Below are 16,477 nucleotides of genomic sequence, written 5' to 3' on the forward strand. Positions count from 1 at the left end.
AAAGAGACTTAGACTCCTACACAATAACAGTGGGAGACTTTAACACTGCACTGTCAATACTAGACAGAACAATGAAACAGAAAATCAACAAGGATATTCAGTTCTTGAACTCAGCTGTGGATCAAGCAGACCTATAGACGTCTACAGAACTCTTCACCCCAAGTCAACAAAATACACATTCTTCTCAGCACCACATCACACTTATTCTAAGGAAGTAAAGCACTCCTCAGCAACTGCAAAAGAACTGAAATAATAACAAACAGTCTCTCAGACCACACTGTGATCAAATTAGAACTGAGGATTAAGAAACTCATGCAAAACTGCACAACTACATGGAAACAGAACAACCTGCTCCTGAATGACTACTGGGGGATTAACAAAATGAAGGAAGAAATAAATAAGTTCTTTAAAACCAATGAGAACAAAGACACCACATATCAGAATCTCTGGGACACAGCTAAAGCAGTGTTTAGAGGGAAAGTTATAGTACTAAGTGCCAACAAGACAAAACAGGAAAGGTCTAAAATCGACACCTTAACATCACAATTAAAAGAACTAGAGAAGCAAGAGCAAACAAATTCAAAAGATAGCAGAAGACAAGAACTAACTAAGATCAGAGCAGAACTGAAGGAAATAGAGACATAAAAACCCCTTCAAAAAATCAATGAAGTGAGGAGCTGGTTTTTTTTAAAGATCAACAAAATGGATAGACCTCTAGCCAGACTAATAAAGAAGAAAAGAGAGAAGAATCAAATAGATGCAATAAAAATGATTGATAAAGGGAATATCACCACTGATCCCACAGAAATACAAACTACCATGAGACAATACTATAAAACCCTCTATGCAAATAAACTAGAAAATGTAGAAGAAATGGATAAATTCCTGGACACATACACCCTCCCAAGATTAAACCAGAAAGAAGTCAAATCCCTGAATAGACTAATAACAAGATGTATAATTGAGGCAGTAATTAATAGCCTACCAACCAAAGTCCAGGACTGGATGGATTCACAGCCAAATTCTGCCAGATATACAAAGAGGAGTTGGTACCATTCCTTCTGAAACTATTCCAAACAATAGAAAAAGAGGGACTCCTCCCTAACTTATTTTATGAGGACAGCATCATCCTGATACCAAACCTGGCAGAGACACAACAAAAAAAGAAAATTTCAGGCCAATATGCCTGGTGAACATCAGTATGAAAATTCTCAATAAAATACTGGCAAACCGAATCCAGCAGCACATCAAAAAGCTTATCCACCATGATCAAGTCGGCTTCATCCCTAGGATGCAAGGATGGTTCAACATATGCAAATCAGTAAACACAATCCATCACATAAACAGAACCAATGACAAAAGTCATGTGATTATCTCAATAGATGCAGAAAATGCCTTCGATAAAATTCAACACCCCTTTATGCTAAAAACTCTTAGTAAACTATGTATTGAGGGAACATGTCTCAAAATAATAAGAGCTACTTATGAAAAACACACATCCAATATCATACTGAATAAGCCAAAACTGGAAGCATGCCCTTTGAAAACTGGCATAAGACAAGGATGCCCTATGTTACCACTTTGATTCAACATACTATTGGAAGTTCTGGTGAGGACAATCAGCAAAAGAAAAAAATAAAGGTATTAAAATAGGAAGACAGGAAGTCAAATTATCTCTGTTTGCATATGAAATGATTGTATATTTAGAAATCTCAATTGTCTCAGCCCAAAATCTCCTTAAGCTGATAAGCAACTTCAGCAAAGTCTCAGGATACAAAATCAATGTCCAAAAATCACAGGCATTCCTATACACCAATAATAGACAAACAGAGAGCAAAATCATGAGTGAACTCCCATTCACAATTACTACAAAGAGAATACAATACCTAGGATACAACTTATAACAGATGTGAAGGACCTCTTCAAGGAGAACTACAAAACCCTGCTCAAAAAATAAGAGAGGACACACACTAATGCAAAAACATTCCATGCTCATGGAGAGGAAGAATCAATGTTGTGAAAATGGCCATAGTTCCCAAAGGAATTTATAGATTTAATGCTATCCCCATGAAGCTGCTGTTGACTTTCTTCACAGAATTAGAAAAACAACTACTTTAAATTTCATATGGAACCAAAAAAGAGCCCACATAGCCAAGACCATCCTAAGCAAAAAGAACAAAGCTGGAGGCATCATGCTACAAATTTACAAGAAGAAAACAAACAACCCCATCAAAAAGTGGGCAAAGGATATGAACAGACACTTCTCAAAACAAGACATTTATGCAGCCAAAAGACACATGAAAAAATGCTCATCATCACTGGCCATCAGAGAAATGCAAATCAAAACCACAATGAGATACCATCTCACACCAGTTAGAATGGCAATCATTAAAAAGTCAGGAAACAACAGGTGCTGGAGAGGATGTGGAGAAATAGGAACACTTTTACACTGTTGGTGGGACTGTAAACTAGTTCAACCATTGTGGAAGTCAGTGTGGCGATTCCTCAGGGATCTAGAACTGGAAATACCATTTGACCCAGCCATCCCATTACTGGGTATATACCCAAAGGACTAGAAATCATGCTGCTATAAAGACACATGCACACGTATGTTTATTGCGGCACTATTCACAATAGCAAAGACTTGGAACCAACCCAAATGTCCAACAACGATAGACTGGATTAAGAAAATGTGGCACATATACACCATGGAATACTATGCAGCCATAAAAAATGATGAGTTCATGTCCTTTGTAGGCACATGGATGAAATTGGAAATCATCATTCTCAGTAAACTATCTCAAGGACAAAAAACCAAACACCGCATGTTCTCACTCATAGATGGGAACGGAACAATGAGAACACATGGACACAGGAAGGGGAACATCACACTCTGGGGACTGTTGTGGTGTGGGGGAGGGGGGAGGGATAGCATTAGGAGATATACCTAATGCTAAATGACGAGTTAATGGGTGCAGCACACCAGCATGGCACATGTCTACATATGTAACTAACCTGCACATTGTGCACATGTACCTTAAAACTTAAAGCATAATAATAATTAAAATAAATAAATACAAAATAAATAAAAAATAAAAAGGACAGATGTTCAGGACAAACCAGAAAGTCTTGGCATGTCATGAATGGTCAGTGTAAGTCTCAATAAGATGATTTTATATATATATGTATATATATATGACATATATATGACAAAAACTTTTATATAATCAATTTGTCATATTATTAAGTTGTGGTTTGCTTAGGAAAAAAACTGATAATTTTTTAAATTAAGCTGATTACATCCATGTACCTCCCTGTATGTGCTTTTAAAGTCCTTGTAACATTTAGTTAGAGGGCTTTAACTCCTGGGTCTAAAATGAATACAAAGCCCTGCTAAATCTTAAACACTTACAGCAATTAAATCATCATATTCAGGCCCCATAGAGATGCCAGACAAATAAACTGCATTCCTGAGACACAGGGCAAGAAATTAAAGCTATTCAGCTCTTCAAGGCCCTAGGAATCTTGTGGAAGAGGTGAATGCAAAAGATTGTAAGGCCCAATTTTGAAAGATAAAATAAATTCGGTTTCCCTATAAATTAATCATTAGTGTCAAAGGCACACTGATGCAAAACCAGTATATAAACCCCTGTGTCAGATTAACAAAGCTTTCTTGCATCATTAACCAATTCCTTAATAAAGGCTATAAAGGTTATAAAAGGCTTATGGAAGTTATATTTTATAATCAAGATGAAATTGTATAGATTGTTTACAAAATTCTGAAAAACAAATGTAACTGGGTTCATGCTGTTTTTATTAGGGCTTCTTGTTTAGAAAATTAATTAAGTCTCCTCTCTCAAAGAACAAAGATTTTTGCTTTTTATTCAAATCCTTGAATTATCACTCTGGTTAAATAAATGACTTTACAATGAACTGTAATCCTATTTTGTAACATCAAATGTTTTAAACCTTTTATAGTTGACAAAATTTCCAAAATCAAATAACTATGTCTTTTCTAACCTAATTAATCCTTTAAGACAGTAGCTTCCCCAATGTCCAAAAATAACATAATTTGGCTAATTTGGTATAAAAATTACACAGGAAGTACTGTCAAATATGGAATTGTGTTTGGTTTTCTTTGGACCGTATTTGTAGAAATATATTATTGGTATGTGTTCCAAAATTCTGGGAAACTCACGTAATTCTGATATAACTTAGTGTACGCTATCAGTAATAATGATAATTGTTATGTTAAAATTATTGCGTGCCACAGAGTTAACAAATTTCCTTGACAATTGTGTCTTTTGACTATGGGTGCCTTATTTTACCAAGGCTTTGACTGGAATGGTGTGCTTTCCTTTAAGGAATCAAACTTGGCTTATGAAGCCAATAAAGCTCTTGATAAAACTGGCCTCATATTTTGTGTACACATTCCTACACAAGTTTTCTGACCTGTGGTAAGTAAAAAATGCCACTTTCTGACAGGTGCAGAAGTCCCAGGTTTATCTCGGAACCTCAAGGGGAGAAGAAATTCACCCAACTCATAGGTATTTCATGGCACAAATCCATGGCCTGGATTTGCTTTAAAAAAGTCTTATCTGAGATTCCTCCTATGGAACAAAGTTCCATAAAATCTCATTTTAAAGCCTATGTAAAAAAATAATTATACTTGTTGCACTGTACACAAATAATTAGGCCAAGTATAATAAGCAAACCAATTCTATCATAATTTGTCTTTAGTAAAATGGTAAACTGGAGAGAGTAAAAAAAAAATATTGTTTCAAAATGATAGTAAACCTGTTGTTATATTCTAATCTTGCCTAATGTTTTTTTTTCTTCAATTTTTATTTTCTACAGTTTGGACTGAATTCTAATTTTTCTTGGCTACAAGTTTTCAAAATAATGTTCCCATTTTTTTTTCCTTCTTTTTTCCCCCACTTTTTCCTAATTTGGAATCACTGAAAACTAAGATGTGCTTTCCTAAACCTTATGAACTGAAGCCAGACAACTTAAACTTCAGAATAAAATAACAGCAACATATTTACATATTTAAGCCACTTTCATCACTGCCAACTAATGTGTAGGCTTCAGAGTAATGTGGCCTGTATTGATTTTTCTAGGATTGTTCTTTTGTTTTTGTTTTTTTTTTTCTTTCTCTCTTCCTCCCCACTATTTTCTCTTCACAGGACGTGAGTCTTCACAACCTGCTAAAAATGAACTTTCAGGACCTACCCATCTAGGAATAAGCCATCCTAGCCATGAGCGATCAGAGACCAGAGACTCATTTTTTTGTAAAATGCTTTCTCCAAAAGACTTTTAAAAAGAAAAGGGGGGAAATGTGAAAAGAAAATATTTTGGGCCCTCAAAATCCCTAAGGAAAACTCAAGCTAGAAACTGCTTAAGGCAATCCTGACTCCTATTCTATTCAAAGTTAACCCTCTCCTCACTGAGATGGATGCATATCTGATTGCCTCCATTGGAAAGGCTAATCAGAAACTCAAAAGAATGTCTCACCTATCTGCCACCTGGAAGCTCCCTCCTGTTTCCAGTTTTCCTGACTTTACTTCAAGTTTTCCCACCTTTCCAGACTGCACCAATGTACTTCTTACATATTAATTGATGTCTCATGTTTCCCTTAAAATGTATAAAACCAAGCTGTGCCCTGACCACCTTGCGCACATGTTGTCAGGACATCCTGAGGTTGTGTCACAGGTTCATCCTCAACCTTGGCAAAATAAACTTTCTAAATTAACTGAGACCTGTCTCAGATTTTCTGGATTCTCAGTGTCAAGTTGTGTCACACTTGGATATTCAGTGAAAGCTTCTTAAAAATGTTGACTGAGTTGAGTCTTCAAAAATTTTCCAACTTACTTACTGAAAGAAGGAAAGAAAGACTATCCCAGACAATATTATTATGCTTTTCCTTTACACTTGCAAATACTTCTCTTAACCTTATTGTCTTGATATCTTAACCATGACCTTGGACAACAAACTATAGCAGTCTTGACAACTGATAGCTTATACAAGTGTTTATAACATCAGCATCTCCTAAAATAAAAAGTCTGAGATTTTACAAATAAGTAAATTCCTTTCTGTTTCAAAGCTCTTTAATAGTCACCAAATAATATATCTCTTCTTAGAACTTGTAGCAAGGAGTTAGCAGCAGAGTTGATTACTCTTTTTGTTGATAGACTTTATCATGGTCATAATTAACAAATAAAACTAGAATAGAATCTGAGGGTCACCTTCTCACTCTAATTGAATTTTATCTTGACAAATATCTAATTAGTGCTTCAAATTATGACTCAGTCTTTATTCTTGTAGGAACTCATGGTTCAAAATTGGGCTCAGTCAAGTAAACAAGTCAGGGTGACACTTGTGATTAGCTTCAATAAGTAAAAGAAGTATTCACAAAAAAGATGTATAAAGGTATAGAGAAAAAATTACTATTTTGTAGGTAAAGTGTCAAAAAATCTTGTTTAAACTGTTCTTTTATTCTCTCAAATCTGTGTTCAATCACATTTAGAAACTTGCAAACCCAAAAGAAAAGGAAGAAAGTATATTCAAGACAGCAGTAATATCTACAAAATCTCAGAGACATGAAAGAAGCATCGCTCATATTCTTTAGCATCAAGTGCAATAAGATGTGAAGTAAGATAATGATTACCTTAATTCACATTTAACATGTTCAGTAATTTGATAATTCGGTCCCATCATCATCAGTTACTAAAAATGTGAATGTGCACAGGTTACTTAGTCCCACTGAATCCCAAATACATATTAATAAGCAGGGGAAAATAGAATGGAATTTCTCAGGAAATGTAAGACAATAATCCATGTTAGGCTTCATGCAGGCCTGATACATAGTAAGTGATTACTAAATATAAGTTACTATTATAATCATCATCATCAACACTATCAGCTATATTCAAACCTCATTATCCATATGTAATCTACTCAACGTACATGCACATTCCTATGTAGCTAGCATTCTCATTTTCATCTCTGGCATTAGACTCCTACTCTGACTAAGAGGATTCCTTGCTCGCCTGCATTCTGTCTGCATTCTTTACCATTATGATACAGTAATAAAAGCAGCTACCTTTACAATTTATAGGGAACAAACAAAACATTCTTCATGATAGGGTCTTTCTGTATGTATAAGCATTAGCAAGGTTTACTATGAGCCCCTAAGATGATAAAATATCTATTTCCAAGGGTTGTTATGGCCACAGTCAGGAATTCTTTGTTAAGTCATCTCCATTGAAAGCTCAGTCCTCTGGTAATTTTTATATTTGTCCTTAACTCTCACCCTCTTCCCTCATCCATGTCAATATTTTCATTTCTCTTCTAGGAATAACATTTTTTTTCTACTTACTAATGCAGAATAATGTACCTTTCTCATGGTCATATTTCTAATTAAAGCTCTAGGCCACTTTGCAGATCCAAACACCTAAAAGACTCAATTGAATAAAACAAGAGCAATTCTATTTTTCTTTAGTTGCTAACATTACTTTCATGAAAGAAGACTGACTTAGTTAGCTAGGACTGCTATAACAAATTACCAGAGACTGGATGGATTAAGCAACAGATACTTATTTCTCACAGTTGTAGATGATAAAAAGTCCAAAATCAAAATGCCAGGAGACTTGGCTCTTTGTGAGAGACTCTTTCTGGTTTGTAGAAGACCGCCTCCTTGTTATATCTTCACATGGCATAGAAAGAGAGCTCTGCTCTCTTATTTGTCATATAAAGTTTCCACCTTCATGACCTGTTTAAACCTAATTACATACCAAAAGCCTTTTCTAATAACATTACATGGTGGGGTATGGTTCAATATATGAATTTCGGGGGCACGCATTTACTTTATGCCAAAGTGTTATCCTTTTTAAAGGGCAATTATATATTCTGAATAGCACCTATTAGCAATATCCAAGATGTTTCAAAAAATGAAGATAACTTGCCATTAAGCTGTCCTGGTTATAGGATGTACCTTAAAGCGAGCCCAGGCTCTAGGCGCTCCAGAGCCCTGGCTTTGCCTAATCTTTAGATTTCCCTAAGAGCTGAACACAGCATTAAATATGTTTTTAAAAAAGAGATTAAGAATATGCTAAATTATGACGCTGTAAATTGCCGTAGACATTTTTTCAGCTACTCTATAATAATAATAATATATTTGTATATCACTTGTATAATATCTAAAACAAATGAATACTGATGTGTTTTAATAAACACCACTGATATGATAGATAGTTAACTTGTACTCTGATTAGGAAAATTCCTTTTCCTTATGCTCAGGATATAATTTCATACATTTTCCATAAGAATGATTTAAGCAAATCTATTAACATCTATTAGTAAATGATAGTCTTAATTTGTAGATTATAGTCCCCAAAATAGTTCACATGTAAAATTATTTCTAGATATAAAATGTTTAACCTAGTAAAACAAGCTCTATAATAAACTCAAAGCACAACCACCTCTTCCAGAGAACCAACTTAATATTTTCACTGATCAAGGAACATTAATTAAAAACCTGCTAAGGTCTGGAAACAATTATAGGCATTGTAACTTAGTGATTAAGAATAAAGACACTAGAGGCAGACTGCCTGAGTTTGAATTATGTATCCTAAATGTACCAGATTGTGAGATCTTGAGGAATTTACCTAACTTATCTGTCCAGTTTCTCAACCGTAAAATAGTGATGATGGTGATAATATGTATTTATATTGTTGTTATGAGAGCTGAATTAGTTAATGTAAATTTGTGTTTATAAATGCATTTTTTATTATTATGGTTCAGTAGTGAAGAAAAATAAAGACATCTATTTTCAGGGAGCTTACACTCTACAGAAGAGAAAGAGTAATGAAGTAAACAAATAGAACATTTGCAATAGTAATAACTGCTGTGCTAAGAATTACACAGCCATGTAGTAGGGAGGGAATGGTCATATATTTTTGACTCTTACTAGAGGAGGCTTCTCTGGGCAGGGGACAATTAAGCTAAAATTTTAATGACAATAATGCCAGTGTAAGGAGTTTAAATACTATTCTGTATAAATGGGAAGACTTGGCAGGGTTTAAGGTTGAAGGAAGAGAAAGAAATATGAGGCTATGAACTGATGTCATATATAAAAATTACCTGAGTTTTTATGTGGAAATTATAGGGAGGCAATTATAGAAGCATGGATGGATTAGACAAAGGTGGTAACATCAGATATCAGCCAAATAGTTAATTTTAAGATATATTTTGCGGTTTCATTGGATATACTTTTTAGAAGATTCCAACAGCCTTTTTTTAATTGGACATCTTTTTTTAAGCACAAAATATGAAACAAATAAATAAAAGTTAAAACAGAAACATTCATGAGGCCTAAATGAATCAAGTATTTTCAAATATTTTATTCTACTCATTTAAATATGTTAACATTATCATAAACAGGTCACTTTTCCATGTAATGAAAATCTTAAAGGGAAAAAGAACATTCCATACAACTATGTGTAGAAGAAAAAGCGACAATAATTGCTAAGATAACTCTTAAAAAGAATAATGAGATCACATGTGTCTTTTACCCAGTTTCTCCCAGTGGTTACATTTTACATAATGATGGTCACCAGGAATTTGATCTCAGAACCATGCGTGTGTATGTAATTATATGTTTTTTAATCACATGTCTAATTCTATGATATCAGCATTGCAATCAAAATACAGGGATATTTCATCACCACAAAGAACTCCTTCATGCTAGATATATTTCTTTACATTTTCCTGTTAGCACTGCTTTAGCTGAGTCCCACAACTTTTGATATGTTATATTTTTAATTTCATTACGTTCAATGTATTTTTAAAAACCTTTTCTTTTGTCTTAATCCAGGATGCTGTAACAACACCATAAACTTTCAAACAACTCTATTTCCTACGGTTCTGGAGGCTGGAAGTCCACAATCAAAGTGTCATGTTGTCAGGTTGTGGTGAGGGCCCTCTTTTGGGTGTAGATTGCTAACTTTTCTGTATGTGTTCACATGGCAGAAAGAGATTGAGCTAGCTCTTGGATCCTTTCTTATAAGGGCACCAATCCCAATACAGAGGCTTCACTCTCATGACATAATTGTCTCCCAAAGACTCTACCTCCAAATATTATCAATCACATTAGGGGATAGATTTTAACACATGATTTTGGGGGGAACACATTCAGTCCATAACATTTCTTGAGTCTTCTTCTAGGACCCATAGGTTATTTTAAAAGTGGCTTGTTCAGTTCCAAGTGTTTGAAGATTTTTTTTTTCTGTTATCTTTAACTTACTGATTTCTAGATAGACCCCATTGTGCTCAGAGAACACTCCTTATGTGATTTCAATTATTTTAAATTTGTTGAGATTTTATGACTTAGTATGTCATCTGTCTTGGTGTGTATTCTGTGGGGGGGATGGGGGGTGCTTGAAAAACGGGTATTCTGCTATTATAGAATGTCAAAATATCAACTGTAATAAACAAGAAAAATAATCCTAGTCTTTTATTTAAGGGCCCTCTTTAGTCCATCTCAACAGACCCTTCTCCGAAGGGGAAAGAAATGCAGCTCACAAGAGCCCATTAAACAACTAAAACAAGACAAAATAAAACAACTACCCCCTGCCAATTTGCACACTGTTACTTCTTTTGTTTTCCCAATCTTATTTCTTCTTCTTTTTTATAATAAAAAATTTCAAAGCAATTATCTGCTTTCTTACTTCCCCTTGACTTTGCCTATGTTTAGTTTTACTTTCTATGATTGGCCATCAACAATTAGGCACAAACCATTCTGAACTTCCTCTTCACACTTACTCAAGTGGGAAAGCTGCTGTTTACAAAGTTGCAAACTAGAAAGTGCTAAATTGATGTTGTACATTTGCAAGCATTCACGTTGAAAAAAAGATGCAAAAGAAGACAGGTGAGACATCTTGGGAAGTGATGTGAGAGCAATTATTCTTTTTAAAATGTTTTGTCTGTATATAGTGTGTACACCATCACTCACAGCTTGTCTTCTCTGAATGTGAGTTCTGACATCCTGTGGGTTGCTGTGCCACTTAATTACAGTGAATAATGAAGAGATTTTAAAGCCATACTGTCACAGTTAATAGGCTGAATAATTAAAGTAATAGGAGAGTTGGTTTTCCTTATGCACAATCCGTTTGGTCTTCTAACACCATTGTTTAGATTTTGCTACAAAATGATTTACTTCATCAGAATTTACTGCTGCATTATTTTAGAAGCCTGACTTTACCATTGTGTTAAGCACAAGGACTATATGAAGAATTAACCTTTATGAATTCCCTGGAAATAACATATTAAGGCATATAGTTATAGCTTTATGCTTCCCTTGACCCTCCTCTCCTTACCCTCTTCATTGGGATTGGAGTGAGCAATTTATTAGTCTGAAGCAATATGCAGTTGATAATGCATTCATTGAACAATTATGATTTATCAGATATATTTTTGAAAGGGCCGTACTTAGTTTCATATGGGTGAATAGGCCTAGGCTAGAGATGAAACATAAGCAGAAATTATTTTCCTTGTCATGCGTTAAAAAAGAGAAGAGAACAGAAGCATAGAAATCCAAAAGTAGCTGGCACTGAGAGATGGGTGAGGGCAAGCGTTGTTAAGACTAAGAAAGGCTCATTGGTGCTAAGCCAAAAGGGTAGTTTGGGGTCATATTAGGAAGAGTTCTTAATGTCAAATAAGAATATGCAATTTATCTTGAGGAGAACTTCAGGACTAGAGAAGGTTTGAGCAGAAATGTGGCCTCATACAAGTAATATTAGAAAGATTAAAAAAGGTTAAAGAAGATTAAATTCTAAAGTATGTACTTGATACATGAGGATGTATAATAGTTAATTTCAGATCTTTCAGTGACAAATTATTCATACTTAACCTGACATGTTTAATATTGTTGAGGCAGTAGATTTATATAGTGGAAACTTTCCTAGAATAAAATCAAATGACTGGAAGTGATGTCACCATACTCATCTTAGTTTCCTCATTCTAAAAATTCTGCCTGCCTTGTCTTCCTCATAGGGTGGCAGTCAGGATCAAAATGGGATTTTGACTGATGATCCCATAAAACAAAACCAATATCACCTGCTGAGCACACAAACCAAAGTTTCTGCTTAACACAGTGAAGAGCCCACTTGGGAAAGACCTTTGTTGGGAAAGAAAAGTCAAGGATAGGACATTTGTTTTGAAAGTAAGGTTTTAATAGGAGGGCCTGATTATAATTAAGTAAAGTTTGTGATATAATAATTTAGGATGAATGCATACAATGAGGCATGATTTGAAAATGAATATTTTATAATAAATAGTCATTTTATAAATCCAGTTTAGTAATCTGTTTTTCTGAAAAGAAGCCTCTGAAACAAATAATAAAGTTACTTCCAACATCATCTTCCCGAGAAAGAATTTCCTAGAATAGTAATGTCATACTCATGCAAAAACAGCTGTAAATTAATTTTTGTTTTTGTTTTCTTTTTCTTTCTTTTCTTATAGCCAAGCTTGATTACTAAGCTGTGTGGCTTCAGTTCCTAGTGAGTACAGTCAGAAAGGGTTGTATTAGAGAAATCCAGGTGATTCCTTTAGGTTTCCTTGAGCCTTTAAGAGACATGGATGTGGTTTCAGACCTCCTGAGGAAGCACGGGGTGTCACTATGTTACCTCAGACATGTCTTCCCTGTTCATAATTGGTTGAAACAGTAATTGGCCAGGACCAGAGACAGACAGCCACGCCACACTTGCAATTTGTGATTTATGGCCTGATGCTTAAAGGAGAGCTAAATAGTTTTATTGCTCTGGAATTTAAAATGAGGAAACTGAAAAGCATGTTTGGAAGTGAGATCAAATTATTTTCAGGAATATCTTGAAGCAGATTCTGGGTAAAGGGTATCATTGTAAGTCGAACATTTGGCAAGAAAAGTAGTGAGGGAGCAGAAATTATGAGAAAGCCACCAAGTAGAAGTAAAATAGAAAGATGAGAGCAGATACAGAGAGAATCAGAGATGCCGTGAGATAGAAAACACTGAACTCATTAAAGAGAAAATATCAGCTCATTAGAGAGAGAAGAGCATGTTTAGTGTGAAGGATGTTTTCCTCCTTGGTTCATCTGTCAAAGAAAGAACGGCATTGCCCTCTGTTACACAGTATACAAGACTCACTTACTTACCTCTCCTTTCTTTTCCCTCTCTCCTTTTAAAATCCCTTTTGTCATGTAGTATCATATATATGAATATACCTCTTCATATTCACAGATTCTAGTGATTGTGTAGAGCATCTTTGGGAAGTCATTTTAGAAATTCTGGGCCCAAGAGGGGGTGTTAAAAGCCATTTAGTTTTGTTACTTCTTCCTAACCACATTGAAGATGTACCCCACCCCCTGCAAGCCAAATGGAAAGAGATAAAATAATCTGAACAAATGAACATTTTGAAGTTTTTTGTTTTGTTTTTGTTTTTGCTTTATTTTTGAGACGGAGTCTCGCTCTGTCGCCCAGGCTGGAGTGCAGTGGCGCGATCTCGGCTCACCACAAGCTCCGTCGCCCGGGTTCACGCCATTCTCCTGTCTCAGCCTCCCGAGTAGCTGGGACTACAGGCACCCACCACCTCACCGGGCTAATTTTTTGTATTTTCAGTAGAGACGACAGGGTTTCACGGTGTTAGGCAGGATGGTCTCGATCTCCTGACCTCGTGATCTGCCCACCTCGGCCTCCCAAAGTGTTGGGATTACTGGTGTGAGCCACCCTGCCCAGCCAAAGTTTTAATACTGTTGTCCCAAATTAGTCTTAATTAAGACAACTAAGAGATATGAGAGAATAAAACTATACTGGATGTCTACCCTCTGCAGAAAACAAATATAACATATGACATACTACAAAAACTAAATGCTGAAAGCACATGAGAATGGACAAAATAGGCAAATTCGGGTGGAGAAAGCATCACAACCTCTCTTGGAAAAAGTGAGACAAGGAGCTATACCTGTAAAATCTCATCTCCACCGCTTATAATCTTGGGCTAATGGCAGTGCATGTAGCTTGCACAATAATGGCTGTATTGCAGATGGAAAAATCTGTAATCTTTCTGATCAAAGGAGGCAGAAGTGGGAAGGCAGGAAGCTCTGAACACTACAGAGAGTGAAAGAATAGCAGAATAGAAAGAACCAGAGAAGGGATTCCCGAAACTGGTTTGCTGATATTTCTGACTGATTCCTGAGCCACATATATACGGAAAAAACTCAAAGCAGTTGATCGAAACATATGACCTCATGAAAGGAATTCTGCTTATGAAGCAGAGTTTCCAGTGCACGTACTCCCAAATCATCATCATCATTATCGTCATCATTATCACCATCTGATAAAATTAAGGAAACAGTAAATCATGAGAAAAAAAATGAAAGAGGAGATTCAGAAAGTTGTGGAGATGAATCAAAAGTACAAAATACAGAAACCCTGGGAATCAAGATTTTAAAAATGCTATAATCAGTGGCCAGGCATGGTGGCTCACGCCTGTAATCCCAGCACTTTGAGAGACAGAGGCAGGCGGATCACCTGAGGTCTCCTGACCTCAGAGACCAGCCTGGCCAACATGGTGAAACCCGGCCTCTACTAAAAATACAAAAATTAGTTGGACGCAATGGCACACGCCTGTAATCCCAGCTACTCTGGAGACTGAGGCTGGAGAATCACTTGAACCCAGGAGAAGGAGGTTGCAGTGAGGCGAGATCGCGCCATTGCACTCCAGCCTGGGCGACAGAGTGAGACTCTGTCTCAAAATAAATAAATAAATAAAATAAAATATAAAAAAATAAAAAAAAGCTGTAGCCAAACCCAAATATGTAAACAGAGATTGTCAGAATTCACAGAAAGTTACTGTTAATAAGAAATGTACTTTAATATTGAGAATAATAACTGGAAAGCAAATTGATAGAGTAAGATATCCATGAAATAAGTAAACATAAGAAGAATACAGTGGAAAACATGAAATTTAATAACTACCCAGCCAGAGAGATGAATATGACAATAAAAAGAGAAGACCAAATTATATCTATCTGAAATAAAAAAGGTATCATAGAAGATAATATGTGAAATACATGCACGAGTTCATGCAAATGAAACTGACAACTAGATGAAACAGATAATTTATTGAAAGAAACAAGTTACCAAAACTGATTTAAGAAGAAGTGGAAAGCCTGAATACCTATGTATCAATTTAAAAAATTGAATCCATAATTTAAAATCTTTCTACAAAGAAAACTCCAGTCTCAAATGGCTTCACTGTTGAATGCCATCTACGTTTAAGAAAAAGAGGAAACAAATTCTCTACAAGCTCTTTCACCAAATAGGGGGAAAATACTTCCCATTTCATTTTATGCAACTAGCATTAATATCAATCTAAAACTGGATAAAGTCATAATAAAAAAAAGAAAATAGCAGACCAATACCCCTTATGAGCTATGAGGCAAAAATTCTTAGTAATATATTAAAAAATTAAGTCAACAATATACACAAATGGTAATGCACAAAGACCAAGTGGAGTTTATGCTGGGAAAGCAAGGTGTATTGAAGTAATACAACATCCCCAATTTAAAGAGCAAAAGCATACAAACACTTCACAAAATAAAGTAAATAAATGGCCAACTTGAACTAACTGACATTTAGAGAACACATCATTGGTAAACAGAAAAATACACACTATTTTTAAGTGCACATGAAATATATACTGAGATCAATTATGTTATAAAACAAGTCTCAATAAATTAAAAATATTCAAACCATTCAATATATGTTTTCTAAATACAATTACTAACTTAGAAATCAGTAGATATATACCTGGAAAATCTTCCAATATTTGAAATCCAACTAATGCACTTCTAAATAAAATCAAGAAATCAACAAAAAATGAAAATAAAAGTAGAAAGTATTTTGATTTAAAATGTGAACCAAAGCTAAAGCATTGCTTAGAATAAGCTGATATCAATAAACACATATAAAAGGAAAAAAATCAATTTCATAGGTTTTCTTTCACCTTAATAAACTAGAAATTGAGTAAATTAAAAGCAAAGTAAACATTAGAAAGTAATAAAGATGGGAAATTATTAAAATAGAAAAACAAAAATAAAGACAAAAAATCAATAAGTCAAAAACTTATTTGAAAAGATTAAAAATCCTGATAAAACACTAACTAGGAGTAATTGTTAAACAATAAAACACACATAATAACAGAGGAATATTTGTATATTAAATTATACACTTCTAAATGTTGCATGGTCCAGGAGGAAGTCACAAGAGAAAAAAAATGTTTTTAATTAAGTGAAAAATTTTTAAATATATCAAAAATTCTGGAGGCTGCTTAAGCTTTGCTTTGAAAAGAACCTATGCTATTAAATAGTTACATTAGAAAAGCAGGATGGTCTCAAGTGAATGATCTCAACTTCTACCTTAAGAAACTAGTAAAGGAATAAC

General features: G+C 34.8%; 1 long non-coding RNA gene across 5 annotated transcripts in view; it reads left to right on the top strand.

The window, feature by feature from the left end:
* Nucleotides 1-10,712, top strand: part of LOC105373438 (uncharacterized) — a 220,483-nt gene extending 209,771 nt beyond the window's left edge. For all 5 annotated transcript variants that reach the window (NR_188380.1, NR_188384.1, NR_188383.1 and 2 more), the window contains one exon: nucleotides 9,875-10,712. This is a non-coding gene — a long non-coding RNA (uncharacterized LOC105373438). The remainder of the gene's footprint in view (nucleotides 1-9,874) is intronic.
* The last annotated feature ends 5,765 nt before the right edge of the window (nucleotides 10,713-16,477 follow it).

Source organism: Homo sapiens, chromosome 2, assembly GCF_000001405.40.
Source record: "Homo sapiens chromosome 2, GRCh38.p14 Primary Assembly".
Taxonomy (NCBI): Eukaryota; Metazoa; Chordata; class Mammalia; order Primates; family Hominidae; genus Homo; species Homo sapiens.